The sequence below is a fragment of the Homo sapiens genome, chromosome 14 (genome assembly GCF_000001405.40).
Source record: "Homo sapiens chromosome 14, GRCh38.p14 Primary Assembly".
Classification (NCBI taxonomy): domain Eukaryota; kingdom Metazoa; phylum Chordata; class Mammalia; order Primates; family Hominidae; genus Homo; species Homo sapiens.
Genome location: NC_000014.9, coordinates 49,636,220 through 49,653,413, shown reverse-complemented (window position 1 = coordinate 49,653,413; position 17,194 = coordinate 49,636,220). Strand labels below are relative to the sequence as shown.

Below are 17,194 nucleotides of genomic sequence, written 5' to 3'. Positions count from 1 at the left end.
AGGTTACAAAGGAAGAATACAAAGATTACTTATTTACTGTTCGTATTGCTCATTGTAATCATAAGTTCTTCCTGTGGGAATACCATCAGAGGCAGCCTTGGTTCGCCTCTTTTCTGCCTACATTCACTCCTTTGCTGGCCTTCTCCAGTGTCCTCTGGCTTTAAGTATCATCTGTGTATTGACACCTTCCACATTTATATTTCCACTTCAACCTACCTTCCAAACTCCAGACTCAGGTATCCAGTTGCCTACTTATCACCATCCCAACCTAAGTGAACTCCTGATCTTCCTCCCCACGAGTGTCCCTAACCTCTTCTGTAGACTTCTCCATGTTAGTTCATGACACCTTCATGGTCTGAACAATGATTATTCCAGTTGTTCAGGCCAAACACTTTGGGGTTTCTCTCACATGTTTTTTCAGGAAGTCCCATTAACTTCAAATTATATCCAGAATCTGCTCTCTCTCTATACCTCTACCTCCACAACCCTCTACCACAGTGGTCCCCAACCTTTTTGGCACCAGGGACTGATCTTATGGGAGACAGACGCCAGGGGGGGTGGGGGTGATTTTGGGATGATTCAAGCGTATTACACTTATTGTGCACTTTATTTCTATTATTATTACATTATAATATATAATAAAACAATTATACAACTTACCATAATATAGAATCAGTAGGAGCCCTAAGCTTGTTTTCCTGAAACCAGACGGTCCCATCTGGGGATGATGGGAGACAGTGACAGATCATCAGACATTAGATTCTTATAACGAGTGTGCAGCCTAGATCACTCACGTGTACAGTTCACAACAGGATTCGTGCTCCTGTGAGAATCTAATGCCCCTGCTGATCTGACAGGAGGCAGAGGTCAGGATGTAATACAACCGATGGGGAGTGGCTGTAAATACAGATGAAGCTTTGCTTGCTTGCAGCCTGCTGCTCACCTCCTGCTGTGTGGTCCAGTTCCTAACAGACCATGGACTGGTACCAGTCCATGGCCTGGAGGTTGAGGAGCCCTGCTCTGCCATCTTCTCGGCCTGGATTATTACAATAGCCTCCTAATTGGTCTCCAGCTTTTACTCCTTCCCCTCCGTATTCTATTCTTTTTTTTTTTTTTTTTTTTTTTTTTTTTTTTTTTTTTTTTTTTTTTTGAGACGGAGTCTCGCTCTGTTGCCCAGGCTGGAGTGCAGTGGCGCGATCTCGGCTCACTGCAAGCTCCGCCTCCCGGGTTCATGCCATTCTCCTCTCCGTATTCTATTCTTAACGCAGTGTGAAAGTGATCCTGTAAAGCATAAGGCATATCCCATCCACCTTCCCGATCCTGGAAAAAGGGACCCTCATTGGAAAAAGGGACCCCTCGTGATTTAGTGACAGCCGTATCCTTGCAGTGGTAATCAAGGCCCTGTGTTATCTGGCTCCGTTACCTCTCTGATTTCCTCTCCTCCCCATTTACTCCAGCCACACTAGCCTCCCTTCTGTTCCTCAAGGATGCCAGGCGAGCTCCAGTCTGAGGGCCTGGGCTCCATCTGTTCCCTTTGCCTGCAGTGCGCTTCCTCTGGGTATCTGCTTGACTAAGTCCCTCTTCCGCTTCAAGCCTGTGCTCAAGTCACACTAAATTATGAGCCCGGCCTGTTCTGATCATCCTATTAATATGCCCGCCTTCTAGGCTCTCTCTTACCACATATGCTGTCCCTCTTAGCCTGTCTTTTTCTTTTTCTCTTATGCTTAATTATCTTAAAACATACTATATGATTATGTTCGCTTTTTATTTTCTCAGCCCCACCCCCTACTAGAATGTAAACTGTATGAGGGCTGGGATCTTTTGGTTCTGTTCGCTAATCCCTAGAATGGGGTAGGCATATATTAAGAGCTCAATACATAGCTGTTAAATGAATAGATGAATAGACAGACTCTGGTTGAAGTTTTGTGTGGTGAACAGTGAATGTGGGAATGGGGTTGTATTGTAAGAGATTTTACCTTTAAAATTAATATCATTTTTTTCTGAGAAGTCAAATTCAACTACTGTTTTCATTTCAGAATTCAGTACTGTACACAGGAAATTACTGTCTTCCGTGAAGACTTAGTAAATAAAATGTGCAGAAACTGCGTCCGTTTTCCTAGCAGCAATTTGGCTATTCCTAATCACGTAAGTGAAACAACTTTTTTATTAAACTGCCTTACATGTTGCATTATATAAAATTTTATTAAGCCACTTAATAATTTGTCCTTGGGTTAGGACATTTATTTATGGTTCAAAATAGTTTGAACGTACTTTTGTCAGTAAGTTAATTTTTGTTAGTGAAGTCAGTGTTTCTCAGCTTTCTACCTAAGTGTATGTCCTTTAGAGGACAGAGAAAAGCTGAGAATAAGCATGAAATTTCTTTCAAGCTTCGTGTTTTGCCTTTTAAACTCTTAAATTATACTTGAAAATATATGTATATTTGTTTTAATAAACTGTTCTTATTTATCCCATTGGTTACATATTTTATATAGTATGTCCATATCACAAGAATGTGCAGTATTTATCTTGTAGCTTCGAGGTTCCCTGACAATAGTTGTCAATCACAGGTTACATACACCCCCATTTGAGAAGTACGGAAATAGATGTTACAGAGCATTTTTATTATTCATTTTATAATATTTAAAGTTTATGGACCAGGTGCAGTGGCTTATGCCTGTAATCCCAGCACTTTGGGTGGCTTGCTTGAGGCCAGGAGTTTGAGACCAGCCTGGGCAGCATAATGATGTATATGTTATTAAATGAAAACTCATAGATTTTTTTTCCTAAAATACAGAATAGTTTATTTCACTTTTAAATTAGTGTCTCCCAAAGCTCTGTGAGTCAAAGCTTTCCTAGTTTCTCAAATTTTCTGGTTCCTTTTGGTAATTAATATTTAATTTGAAATTATTTGTTTAGCTATTTTCACTTTTGCAAATGAACTGAAGTTTGCTTTGTTTTGTGCTCTTTTGTAGTTTGTAAAGACTATCTTATCCCAAGGACATCTGACTCCCCTACCTCTTTATGTCTGCCCAGTGTATTGGGCATATGACTATGCTTTGAGAGTGTATCCTGTGCCCGATCTACTTGTCATTGCAGACAAATATGATCCTTTCACTACGACAAATACCGAATGCCTCTGCATAAACCCTGTAAGAATGTAGTTAATCTTATATAGTCATTATTTATCAAGATTAGAGTGCATTTTTTAATTTAAAAATATATATTTAATAAGATTATTGTCGAAGTAAAAATATGCTATTAGTGAAACACTGAATTAAGTTTCTATACACAGAAAGTTGGTATACACAGAAAGTTCTTAAACTTTCAGTATAGTGACTATAAAGTAACATGACTTAAAAAACAAAAAAACAAGCATACCCACAAGCATACCAAAACATAAATCCAAAAGAGTAATTTTCTCCTCTTCAGAACTTATCTTGGGATTCCTTTCTGGGAATTGCTTCAGAGCCTGCATATTGGTGGTACTTGTCCTTTGAGAATGATTTTGATTTTTGGAAATTGCACAGGTCCCAAAAATCTAAGCCTGATTAATATAGAAACCTCATTGGTACATATTTTATTACTTAATTTTATGTAGAACCTTGAAATTGCTTCAGAATCTTGAGGTTGCTTCAGAATTTCTGCAGAAATATAATTGACTTTTAGGCCAGGTATGGTGGCTCACACCTGTAATCCCAGCACTTTGGGAGGCCGAGGTGGGTGGATCACGAGGTCAGGAGTTCAAGACCAGCCTGACCAACATGGTGAAACCCCGTCTCTACTAAAAATTACAATAATTAGCTGGGCGTGGTGGTGCGCGCCTGTAATCCCACCTACTTGGGAGGCTGAGGCAGGAGAATTGCTTGAACCAGGGAGGCAGAGGTTGCAGTGAGCGGAGATCACGCCATTGCACTCCAGCCTGGGCGACAGAGCGAGACTCCATCTCAAAAAAAAAGAAAAGAAATATAGGCCGGGTGTGGTGGCTCACGCCTGTAATCCCAGCACTTTGGGAGGCCAAGGCGGGCAGATCACGAGGTCAGGAGATCGAGACCATCCTGGCTAACATGGTGCAACCCCGTCTCTACTAAAAACACAAAAAATTAGCTGGGCGAGGTGGCGGGCGCCTCTAGTCCCAGCTACTCGGGAGGCTGAGGTAGGAGAATGGCGTGAACCCGGGAGACAGAGCTTGTAGTGAGCCAAGATCGCGCCACTGCACTCCAGCCTGGGCAGCTGAGCGAGACTGCGTCTCAAAAAAAAAAAAAAAAAAAAAAAAAAAGGGAAAGAAATATAATTGACTTTTTGAACTTGGAGAATAAATACTGCATAAACAATGACATAAACACAGTTATGTCAAACAAAATATTATCTCCACTAGAGATTTTTAATATGCATGCTTCCTTGATTCTTGTGAATTTTAGACTTTACTAATTTTTTGTTTCATCTGAGTAATTTCTAGAAACATCATGCCTTATTTTTGGCATGATGCTGGGCCTGTAATCCCAGCACTTTGGGAGGCCGAGGCAGGAAGATGGCTTGAGTCCAGGAGTTCACAACCAGCATGGGCAACATAGAAAGGGCCTGTCTCTACTTTGCTTTCCTCAAACACACAGTTTGTCCAGCTTCTTCTAAGACATGGCTTATCGGCCTTGGCACTTTTGACATTTTGGACCAAGTAATTTTTGGTGGTGGGGGCTATCCTGTGCATTGTAAGCTGTTTAGCAGCATCCCTGGCCTCTGTCCACTAAATGCCAGTAGTATTCCCCAGCTGTAACAATCAGAAATGTCTCCAGACACTGGCCAAATGTCCCCCTGAGGGACAAAGGAACCCTGGTTAAGAGCCTCTGCTTTAAGAATGAACACAGTTAACTGATTTGGTTTTATTGCTTAGAAATTTATGACCTGATTTTTATTCACATTGAAATAGTCTTTCATGGTGATGCTATTTCCTTACTTAAACTTTGGGCATTCTCCTAGTTAATGCTCTATTTGAATATACCTTATTTCTGAATTTTTCTACTTTTTCATCCCTGTGAGTAAACCACCACCTCCTACACCATCATTATATCTTTTTTACCTTATTTATACCTTTTGGGCAAGCTCAAAACTAGCCTTAGACATTACTTCATCCTTTCTTGATATTTATTCACATTAACGAATGCCTGCCATAGGCTAGGTGTTGGGTTCGGTGCTTGGGGCACAAAGACTGAAAAGACAGGGCCTCTGCTCAGCCACGTGAGAGTTTCATAGTAGACAAACAATTGTATGTGTGATTATTGCTCAGTTGCTTTACAGGCACATAGGAAGGGAATCAAACAGGTACATAGGAATGCAAATCAGTTTTGCATTAGAGAGAGGGGCAGGAAAGACTTCTTGAACTTGCTGATTGTCTCACATGCATATTTGGCGTTACACAGTCTGTTTATTTTTTACACTAAGTAGAGCTCCTCCTAAGCATTTCCAACCTCATCTTTTAGCATTAAGACTGTCTAGCCAACTCAAAAGACTTTTGCTTCAAGTGGAGATATTTTATAGTAACAACTCTGTAAAAAGATCGTGTAAAAATCTGTTGTGTTACTTTATAGTCACATCTTGTCATTTTAAGTCACAACCAAGGACTTTTAAAAAACAGGAATTATTTTATAAAACTTGAGTATTCGGCTGGGCACGGTGGCTCATGCCTGTAATCCCAGCACTCTGAGAGGCCGAGGTGAGCAGATCACCTGTGCCCAAGAGTTCAAGACTAGCCTGGGCAACACAGTGAAACCCTGTCCCTCTTTACAAAAAATACAAAAATTAGCTAGGCGTGGTGGCCCATGCCTGTGGTCCCAGCTACCTGGGAGGCTGAGATGGGAAGATCGCTTGAATCCCGGAAATGGAGGTTGCAGTGAGATTGCCCCACTGCACTCCAGCCTGGGTGATGAGAGTGAGACCATGTCTCAAAAAAAAAATAAATAAATAAAATAAAAAATAAAAAATATACATATTGTGTTTAAAAAAATTTATTTTAAAAAAAAGTCTGAGCATTCACTTACAGGCATTTTTCTCCCCCAAAGGGCTCTTTTCCAAGAAGTGGATTTTCATTCAAAGTTTTTTATCCTTCTAATAAGACAGTAGAAGATAGGTAAGTGTGTGCACAGACACAGCAAGAAAGATCTTTCTCTAGGTGTTAAATTACTGAAAATGAGATGTTCTATCAGTGTGTTGGGATTTTTGAAAATGTCTACAGTGGCCCATAAAGAAATATTATTGGCTGAGCTTATCACGGTTATGCTGTGTGACACAGAATTGTGGGTACATGATGGTACGTTTGTGTTGAAATAGATCAAGAACTGTTTTCTGGGGGAAATCTCAGGCCAGCTGTGGAGGTGAGCTAGTTCTCTTACAGGCCAACTCCTGACGATGGTCTCACTCTTCTGAGAGGTCAGTCCTGCCCTCCGTATGGTTGCTTCTTAGGTACTTTCCCTTAAATTGACAGTGAGGGAGCTGTGTGTGAGTTTGGTGATGGTATGGGGTTGGAGTTACGGAAAGGTCTTGAGAAAGAAGAAAATAATCACCTAGTGGGTAGTAGTTTTCACAGGGTGATCTACATAGATCACCCACATCAGAATCCTCTGGGGTCCTTGTTAAAAATGTTAAGTTAGGATTTTGCCCCAGACTCATCAAATGACTTTCTAATTGTAAAGAATAGGCATTTTAAATATTATTTCCTGTAATTTCAGGCATCCTAACATGTGATTTCTCAGATAACTGTATTTTGAAAAAGTTCCCACCACTGGTTAAGAACAAGTGCCCAGGCAGGGCACGGTGGCTCATGCCTGTAATCCCAGGACTTTGGGAGGCCGAGGTGTGTGGATCACGAGCTCAGGAGTTTGAGACCAGCCTGACCAACATGGTGAAACCCCGTCTTTATTAAAAATACAAAAATTACCCGGGTGTGGTGGCGTGTGCCTGTAATCCCAGCTACTCAGGAGAAGGAGGCTAAGGCAGGAGAATTGCTTGAACCTGAGAGGTACAGGTTGAGTGAGCAGAGATGGCGCCACTGCACTCCAGCCTGGGCAACAGAGTGAGACTCTATCTCAAAAAAAAAAAAAAAAAAAAAAAAAAAAAAAAACCAACAAAAAAACAACTGACCAAATCAAGTAACTCCCCTCCAGGTTATTGTCAGAGAATATAATCTTGAACACAGCCCAGTTGTCTTTTTCTTTTTGGAATTAACATATTTATTTAAAATAAAAGTGAATATAAAATGAATAATTTTCAAAACATGCTTATAAATATAAAATTAAAAAGGAGGCCAGACGCTGTGGCTCTTTTCCAGCCCACTTGTCTACGCTGGATATCCTGAGGGCACTTGATTTTGTGACCCCAGGACTAAGTCAACTCTGAGGGCTGTCAGCCTGGAGCATACAGTCTTATCCACTGTTAGAATGTCTTTTACTGAAATAACATTTGGCATAAAACTTGTAGACATAAAACAGTCTGCAGCCATTCGTGGTGGCTCACACCTGTAATCCAGCACTTTGGGAGGCCAAGGCAGGCAGATGACTTAAGTCAGGAGTTTAAGACCAGCCTGGGCAACATGGCAAGGCCTGTTCTCTACAAAAAAATACAAAAAATTAGCTGGGTGTGGTGGCCCACACCTGTAGTCCCAGGTACTGGGGAGACTGAGGTGGGAAGATCACTTGAGCTCACTTGAGCTCGGGAGTCAGAGGTTGCAGTGAACTGTGATTGGTCCACACTGCACTCCAGCCTGGGTGACAGCTGTCAAGTACCCTGTCTCATGGTACTTGCAGTTGATGCTCACTCTTTGTCCACTGAAATAGTTGCTTCCTTTATCTGCTGTGGCCTCAGATGCTGAAAGCCTTGACATAATTTCCAAACTATAATTTTGTATTGGTAACTGGGGAATCTTTTCAATGCTAGATCAAACAAACTGATGTAAGTTTATGTTTTAGGAAAACAGAAAAGTTTCAAGATATATTGAAATAATCTGGCCTTCTTGCCACTTAGTTTCTCCTAAGAAGCCTTCTGTTAGAATATTTGTGAAATCATATTGTGGAATTAGTCACAGAAATGTAGTCAAAGTTGATAAAATTAACCCTGTTTAAACATGACTTTCAAGTAGTTTTATTTAAAAACACAATATTGGTGATGTTTTGGAGGAAATACACATTCTCACATGTAGTTGGTCAGAATGAAAAATGGCAGAAACCTTTATGGAGGGCAATTTGACAAGATTTATTAATGCCTACACCAACAATTCCACTTTTAGGAATTTATTCTATAGGTATACTTAAGCCTATGCATACAAGTAGGTACATCATGTATAGGTACAGCTGGCTTTTTACTGCAGTGTTTTTTTTTTTTTTTGTGAGACGGAGTTTTGCTCTGTTGCCCAGGCTAGAGTGCAGCGGCACAGTCTCGGCTCACTGCAACCTCCATCTCTTGGGTTCAAGCGATTCTCCTGCCTCAGCCTCCCAAGTAGCTGGGATCACAGGCACATGCCACCACGCCTGGCTGATTTTTTGTATTTTTAGTAGAGATGGAGTTTCACCATGTTGGCCAGGCTGGTCTCAAACTCCTGACCTCAGGTGATCCACCGGTCTTGGCCTCCCAAAGTGGCTGGGATTACAGGCATGAGCCACTGCGCCCAGCCTTTTTACTGCAGTTTTTATACCAAGAAATTTTAAAAATGTATATATATCTAAATATTTGTACTTATTCAGAACTTTCTGATTTACTTAAATTTCTAAGCCTCAAAGAAGTAAATATAATGTATTTACTACTAATGGAAAAAAGGTGTAGAAAGTATGCATAATATCCTATCACTTCTGTATGTTTTTAAAGCATAAGCCCACATATACATGTGCTTATATATGATTAGAATACTTTTTTTTTTTTTGGAGACGGAGTTTTGCTCTTGTTGCCCAGGCTGGAGTGCAATGGCGCAATCTCAGCTCACTGCAACCTCCGCCTTCTGGGTTCAAGAGATTCTCCTGCCTCAACCTCCCGAGTAGCTGGGATTACAGGCATGCGTCACCATACCTGGCTAATTTTTTATTTTTAGTACAGATGGGGTTTCTCCAAGTTGGTCAGGCTGGTCTCGAACTCCTGACCTCAGGTGATCCACCCGCCTCTGCCTCCCAAAGTGCTGGGATTATAGGCGTGAGCCACCGCGCCCGGCTACTTTTTTTAAAAATTAGTCTACCTTTATAAAGGACATATAGTTGTTGGCCGGGCGCGGTGGCTCATGCCTCTAATCCTAGCACTTTTTGGGAGGCTGAGGCGGGTGGATCACCTGAGGTCAGGAGTTCAAGACCAGTCTGTCCAACATGGTGAAACCTCGTCTCTACTAAAAATACAAAAATTAGCCAGGCATGGTGGCAAGTGCCTATAATCTCAGCTACTCAGGAGGCTGAGGCAGGAGAATCACTCGAACCCAGGAGGCAGAGGTTGCGGTGAACCGAGATTACGCCATTGCACTCCAGCCTGGGCAACAGAGTGAGACTCCCTCTCGAAAAAAAAAAAAAAAAAAAAAGACATACATTTGCTTTTTGGGAGCAGAAAAGGGGGCATGAGAATGACTTATTTTTTAGAGTCTCCTTTTGAATTTGAAACAGTATGTATGTATTGACCTGTTTTTAAAAATCAATTAACTATACCTATTTAAAAAAATTAACTACAACTATTAGTAAGTATACAACTTAGGTTTCCAAATATTTAATTTTTTTTTCTATTTTCAGCAAACTTCAAGGCTTTTGAGATTCTTAAAGATCATCTGAAGAAAATTCATCAGTTTTCTGCTTAACTCTATATCTTATGTGATTCTGATATTACAATAAAATTATGGTAAACTTTAGGATGTTCTGCTTAAATTTGTATTTTGTGAAATTTTGATACTAAGTGATAAATATGATGGTATACTTGAGAAAGTTTTCTAGGAAAAATATTTTCTGCATAGTCTTTTAAGAAAAATATATGGGGGCCAGGCGCAGTGGCTCACGCCTGTAATCCTAGTGCTTTGGGAGGCCAAGGCGGGTGGATCACCTGAGGTCAGGAGTTCGAGACCAGCCTAGCCAAGGTAGCAAAACCCTATCTCTGCTAAAAAAAAAAATACAAAAATTAGCTGGGCATGGTGGCGGGCGCCTGTAATCCCAGCTTCTCGGGAGGCTGAGGCAGGGAGAATCACTTGAACCTGGGAGGCGGAGGTTGCGGTGAGCCAAGATTGTGCCATTGTACTCCAGCCTGGGTGACAGAGCGAGACTCTGTCAAAAAAAGAGAAAGAAATAAAAATATGTGGATATGTATATACTTTTTTTTTTTTTTTTTTTGGAGACAGAGTCTAGCTCTGTCACCCAGGCTAGAGTGCAGGGAGAATCGCTTGAACCTGGGAGGCAGAAGTTGCAGTGAGCCGAGATCGCGCCACTGCACTCCAGCCTGGGCGACAGAGAGACTCCATCTCAAAAAAAAAGACAAAAAACCCCCCAAAATACAATAATTAGTCGGGTGTAGTCCCAGCTACTTGGGAGGCTGAGATGAAAGAATCGCTTGAGCCTGGGAGGCAGAGGTTGCAGTGAGCTGAGATCAGGCCACTGCACTCCAGCCTGGGCGACACAGTGAGACTCTTTCAAAAAAAAAAAAAAAATTACGAAGAGCCTGGACTGGAAGACATTGCTTTCAAAGAGAATTAGCTTTTGAGAGAAAAGGTACTAATAAAAAAATATAAAAATGACACAGTGAAAGGGAAATTCCTCAAGGAAATTTAATATGAATGCAGTGATAAGTTAATTTAGCAGCAAAGAGAACATGACAATCTGATATGTGGTTTGGGGATGGAAAATTGGAAGAATGTTAGAAGGGGCCTAATGTTAGAAGAGCAAGGTTTAACTTTAATTTCAAGAATAACCTGGTAAAATCAAAGTTTAAAGATGAAATCAAGACATAAATTTAAACAGTTTGGGCCTAGAAAGTGGCAGTAAAATAGACATGCAAGGCTGCTGGTGCAGTTATGAGACTCACAGAGCTAAATATGAATGATGATGGGCAGAAGTTTATAAATGGAAATTGAAATCAAGGTGTCCTCTCATTCAGTGGATACATAATTGCTTCTATAATTAAAGCAGAGGTATTTTGAGATCTTTTCAAGAACACAGTGAAAGTAGGGTGCATTTAGGGGTTAAACAAGATGAAGTGAAGTGAAACAAGGCAGTGTAAATTGCCAGAAGCAGGCCATCAATATTAGAATAAGGTAAGGCAGGAACTAGAACCAGGTGAGGATCAACATCGTCCAGAGATGGAAAAGAAAGCCAAGGTCTGTAAGATAGGACAGCAGAGGAGCCGGTGTGAAAGAGTGGACTTTGCTTTAGTAAAGAACAGAGACAGTGTGTTCCCAGCTGGGTGTTCCCAACTGGGTGTTTAATCAGCTGAAGCCCGGCTGATCTCACTGCTGCAATCTGTTTACGAGGCACCATTAAGTGAAGGTGCACCTCAAAGCAGGAGCCAGATTGTTAACACACAGAGATAGTGGTAAGATTTCTCTACTATAAAAAAAGCAAACACGTGGTTTCTGTAGGGAAACCACAGAATGCCAGAGACTGGACAGACCGAATGAAGCATTCTTCAGCCAGGGGCAGCCATGCAGGAAACCAGGCCTATGGGGCCATTTTAGAGAAATCTGGATTTTTCGGTACAATATCCTGACTTCGCAAGCACTAATTTAAACTGCAGTTTGCAACCAAGAAGACATGCTTACAGATTGGATTGTGCTCATGAACTGTTTTCCCTGCCTTACAGGCATAGGAATTTGATTTTGTAGTCCATAAGAGATCCTTATTAAGCAAAATCAGGTGAGCCCCAGTCATTCACCACCATCTGTGAAATTTAGTGTCCTCTTGTAATGGTGGTGGTAGCTCATAGCAGGGAAGGTAAACTTAAAATGGGACATTTCATTCTGATCCTATGCACATATATGCGTTTTCTCTGGAGCCAAGGCTCCTACCCACTCTATTCAAGGGCTCCACTTTTATTGTTTTTATTGTGCTTACACTTTGGGCTTCATTTTTAGGCAGGTTTTCTGAATTAAAGGGCTGGGGGGGTTGTGGAAAAGGTTGCAAGACCATTGCTCCAATTCTTTAATACATGTATTAAATGTTTACTATGCTAGGCACTGTGGTAAGTGCTTATTCATTGCGCAATTTAATCCTCATTAGGTTCACTATCACCTTTAGTTATACATGAAGAAAACAGGCATAGGTAGGTTAAATAAGTTGCCCAAAGTCACACAGCTGGTAAGGGTCACAGCAGAGTTGATGCTGGGTTATCTGACTGGAGTCCAGGCGCCTCACCAGCATGGTATTGTCCTGCCTTCGTCTACTTCCTTACTGAACATGCTACTGAAGATATACAAGATCATTTATCTTGAGCAGTGTTTCAGACTGAAGGTCAAACTGATCAGTGGGTTGAAATATTAATGAGTCATGGCAGAATAGAAAATTCCAGTGCATTAAGTTTTGTCTCATGAAGCTGTTTGTTATGTATTAGGATCTGGCATGTGCTATCACAGTATCTCACTTAAGTCAGTAGGTCTCAGCCATCTACTCTGGACCTCTACTTCCCAATAAATAGAACAAATGGCATCTGAAGAGAGCAAATGCAGTATTTGCGCAAGGATAGGATAAGAGAGTTTGCACAAAGGGGTTAATAACTGATAATGGCTCAATACCTAGGCACTTCTCCCTCCAAAAGGCATTCTTTTTTTTTTTTTTTTTTTTTTGAGGCGGAGTTTCACTCTTGTCGCCCAGGCTGGAATGCAATGGTGCAATCATGGCTCACTGCAACCTCAGCTTCCCGGGTTCAAGAGATTCTCCTGCCTCAGCCTCCCAAGTAGCTGGGATTACAGGCGCCTGCCACCACGCCTGGCTAATTTTTGCATTTTTAGTAGAGGTGATGTTTTACCATGTTGGCCAGGCTGGTCTTGAACTCCTGACCTCAGGTGATCCACTCACCTCGGCCTTCCAAAGTGCTGGGATTATAGGTGTGGGCCACTGCGCCTGGCCCATTTTTTTTTAAGGATAGCTTTCCTTAATGGATGAATTTTAGGCAAGAGAACATTTGTTTTGCGCAAGGGGGCTCTTCCACAACTGTACACTGTCTTTTCCCAAAGAGATTCTTCTGGGAAAGAGAACATCATATAGTAAGAAACTTGGCAAAGCAGAGGGCAGGAACCCTCAGAGAATCTAATGAAAGCTATGGGCCCTATGGGCCTCTACTGAGACCCATGTCCCCAAGCCCCACATGAGCCTGCCCCTACACATAATTTCAGAGGGTTCGGGAACCCTAAAGGCCATTATCACTTCTAAACAACCAGTTGTAGTTTGTTGTCCTTTGAGAAGTATGGTGTGTTCATGTATTCATGTTTGGAAATGCCTTTTTTAAGGTCAAACGTCCAGAATTTTGATGTTACAAAGGTGAGTGAAAATAAGTTGACAATTAATCCTTGGTTATGCTCACTGACCTCAGGGTTATAATAGAAAAGAGTGCAATTTTACACATCCCTCAGGTGCTTTAAACCTTTTGGAACTCATCTCAAAGCTATTTTAGATGCAAAGCTTTAAAACCTAACGGTAGGGTATTCTAAGACTTTTTACTAAACAAGTTCATAGAAAATTATAAAATGTAAGCAAGCATAACGAAAAAGTTATAACAATCTACAATTCCACTATCAGAAATATTGTTAATATTTTGGTAAATGTGGTTCCAGATTTTTCTCTATAAAAATATTTTGGGATCATACTATACATACTAAACTTGCTTTTTTCTTTACTATATTCATTCATCTGCCTGCCCAGTAATGTTCTAGACATCAGAGAATCCAGTGGTAAACCAGAAAGGCAGGGTCCTAGATTTCATGATGCTTACCTTTTCAAATGGGGAGAGCCATACCTTATAACAAGAAAATACCAAATGCAAACCATGTTTAAAAAAAAAAAGCCAAGCATGGTGGCTCATGGCTGTCATCCCAGCACTTTGGGAGGCCGAGGCAGGCAGATCACTTGAGGTCAGGAGTTCAAGACCGGCCTGGCCAATATGGAGAAAAATCCATCGCTACTAACACACACACACAAAAATTAGCTGGTCATGGTGATGCATGCCTTTAGTCCCAGCTGCTTGGAGGCTGGGGCAAGAGAATTGCTTGAGCCCGGGAGGCAGAGGTTGCAGTGAGCCGCCATCGCGCTGCTGCACTCCAGCCTGGGTGACAGAGTGAAACTCCATCTCAAAACAAGAACAACAAAAAACGATGCTGGCCATTTTATATGAGGTGTTGGAGGTGGGAGAAGCATGTTGCAGGGAGTCACTAAGGTGACATCATTTAAGGTCTTGAGGTTCGATGGCCTGTGCCCAGGCTGCACAGGAGTCAAGAGTATTCTGACATTAGACTGATTGGGGAAGAAAACTAGATGGTGAATACGAAGTGTGTTAGGGATTAAATGTAGACACACATAAGGAACTTGGATATGAAGTTACTAGGTTTTCAGCAGGTAATGATGTAAGTTGATTTGATTTTAAAGATCACTAAAGCAACTGTGTGGAAAAGAGATTGTCAGAAGGGAAGAGCTGAAGAGACCGATTGGAAGCTATTGCACAAGTCTGCGATGGAGATGATGGTGGCTCAGAGCAGAAATAGAAGTGGATATATTTGGAGTGTACAAGAAGAGACAACAGGACTATGTAACTGAATGGCAGCAGGGTGAGGGAAAGAGGAATCAGCTTATGTTTTAGGTTTAAGTAGCTGGGTAGGCGGTATTATTTAGTGCAACTGGGGACAGAACAAGTTAGATATAAAAATCAAGATTTCTACGTAGAATTGTTAATGTGAGATGCCCATCAAACATCCAGGTGGATAACTGCGGGGCAGTGGCATGTGAGTCTCTTGGAGCTCAGTGGTCAGGTAGAACTGGAGATACCATTTTGGAGTCACTAGTCTCACCCCAGATGAGATCCACGAGGGCAAAGTTTTTTTTTTTTTTTTTTTTTTCTTTTTTTTAGGCTAGGCAAGGTGGCTCATTCCTGTAATCCCAGCACTTTGGGAGGCCGAGGAGGGTGGATCACCTGAGGTCAGGAGTTTGACAGCAGCCTGGCCAACGTGGCGAAACCCCGTCTCTACTAAAAATAGAAAAATTAGCCGGGCGTGGTGGTGGGCATCTGTAATCCCAGCTACTCGGGAGGTTGAGGCAGGAGAACTGCTTGAACCTGGGAGGCGGAGGTTGCAATGAGCTGAGATTGTGCCACTGCACTGCAGCCTAGATAACAAAGGGAGACTCTGTCTCAAAAAAAAAAAAGTACATTTTTTAACTCTAAAAGTATAAGATACATAAAATCTACTGTCAGCGTACAGCACAATGAATTTCACAAATTGCACACCCAATGTAACCAAGATTAACAGACCCTCACCCAGAAGCTCTCCCAACATGGCCATCACTAGCTTGGCTTAACAGATTTATTTTGCCATGTTTTGTCTATTATATGACAGAGTCATATGTATTATTTTACATCTGGTTTCTTTCAAGCACCATTATGTTAATGATACTCATCTATACTGTTGAGTAGTGCATTGTGTGGGTGGATATTTACATTTATCCATTCTACTATGAATGAGAATTTGGGTTGCTTCCAGAATTTGTCAACTATGAAATAGTGCCGCTATGAATACACACATTGTAGTACATGTGTTTTGGTGGGGATATGTGTTTCTGTTGAATGTGTATCTGGGAGAATTTCATTGTCGTAAGCCTTATGTTAACAGTGTTCCAATATATACTCCCAGGATATGAAAGTGCAATTGCTGGCTGGGCATGGTGGCTTGTGCCTGTAATCCCAGCACTTTGGGAAGCCGAGGTGGGCGGATCACCTGAGCTCAGGAGTTGGAGACCAGCCTGACCAACATGGTGAAATCCCATCTCTACTAAAAAATACAAAAATTAGCTGGGCGCAGTGGTAGGTGCCTGCAATCCCAGCTACTTGGGAGGCTGAGGCAGGAGAATTGTTTGAACCCAGGAGGCGGAGGTTGCAGTGAGCCAAGATCGCGCCAAAGCACCCCAGTCTAGGCGACAGAGCAAGACTCTGTCTCAAAAAAAAAAGCAATGCAACTGCTTCACATCTTTGTTAATTACCTATATAATAAGTGCAATAAGCACACAATAAATATCTGTTGAAAGGACTAATTTGAACACAGATGGCATTTAAAACTATGGGCTTGGATAAGACATCTTGGAAGAAATGTGATTAGGTAAGAGGGCTGATGAACAAAGCCTTGGGCAACTCCCACATTTGCAGAACTGGCAGGAGCATAAAGGAGGAAAATGGGAGAGCTTGGAGTTCTGCAAAACATGAGAAAAATGTGTTTCGAAGGGGCAGTCAACTGCTTTGAATGCTTCCAAGAGACCATAAGATAAGGCAGTGGTTTGGGAAAAGAGGATTCAGGAGTTCTGATCTTGGTCATTTCAAGCCTGAGTAGCTTATGCATTAATCACTCAAATGGACACCTCAAACGTGCAGCTGGATATAGGAGTGTAAAATCTGAGTCTAAGACAAGTATTTGTGAGTGTAAATATATTTCTGAAGGAGAGTATAGATGGGTAAGAGATTGGGTCCCAGTTTTGGGGCATTTCCATGTAGAAGTTGAAAAGAAGTAGATACCTACAGAGCAAAACTATGAGAGTGATGAGACAGAAGAGAAATCTGGAAAGTGTCTTGTCACTGAGGTAATGCCAACATCAACTGTGTTAAATGTTGCTGAGAATAGAAAAATGATCACTGAATTGACCAATTACCAATGAATAAATAATTACTCCAGTAAATAAATATACTTCCATATGATCATTTTGAATGGTTGCACAAAACTCTGTTGCGTGGCTCTACCAAAACCTGCTCAATCAGTTCCATTGTTGAATTTGTAGATTCTTCTCAAACCTTTAGAATCATAAATGATGTCACCTTGAGAATGTTCTAAGAGTATTGTGTCAAATACTCTAAGGGCATTTGGGTCAAAAAAATATGCACATTAGAAAGGTTTTAGGCCGGGCGCGGTGGCTCATGCCTGTAATCCCAGCACTTTGGGAGGCTGAGGTGGGCAGATCACATGAGGTCAAGAGTGGGAGACCAGCCTGGCCAACATGGTGAAATCCCATCCCTACTA

General features: G+C 41.5%; 1 protein-coding gene across 8 annotated transcripts in view, besides 1 other annotated feature; it reads left to right on the top strand.

The window, feature by feature from the left end:
* The window catches only part of POLE2 (DNA polymerase epsilon 2, accessory subunit), a 44,660-nt gene extending 34,801 nt beyond the window's left edge, over positions 1–9,859 (top strand). For 4 of the 8 annotated variants that reach the window (NM_001197330.2, NM_001348384.2, NM_002692.4 and 1 more), the window contains 4 exons: positions 2,037–2,145; positions 2,973–3,149; positions 6,054–6,121; positions 9,744–9,859. In NM_001197330.2, the coding sequence (NP_001184259.1) occupies positions 2,037–2,145; positions 2,973–3,149; positions 6,054–6,121; positions 9,744–9,762 (373 nt within the window). In that variant the 3' untranslated portion in view covers positions 9,763–9,859. Of the gene's footprint in view, positions 1–2,036; positions 2,146–2,972; positions 3,268–6,053; positions 6,122–6,321; positions 6,845–9,743 lie in introns of those variants that run through there. The other 4 variants (XR_007064016.1, XR_007064015.1, NM_001197331.3 and 1 more) reach the window with 3 other exon arrangements.
* Positions 12,509–12,803: a silencer, noted in NCBI's record as "tiled region #10705; HepG2 Repressive DNase matched - State 6:EnhF". NCBI's record gives its function as "represses a minimal TATA promoter and a strong SV40 promoter by Sharpr-MPRA in HepG2 cells {active_cell/tissue: HepG2}" and the evidence as "EXISTENCE:reporter gene assay evidence [ECO:0000049][PMID:27701403]".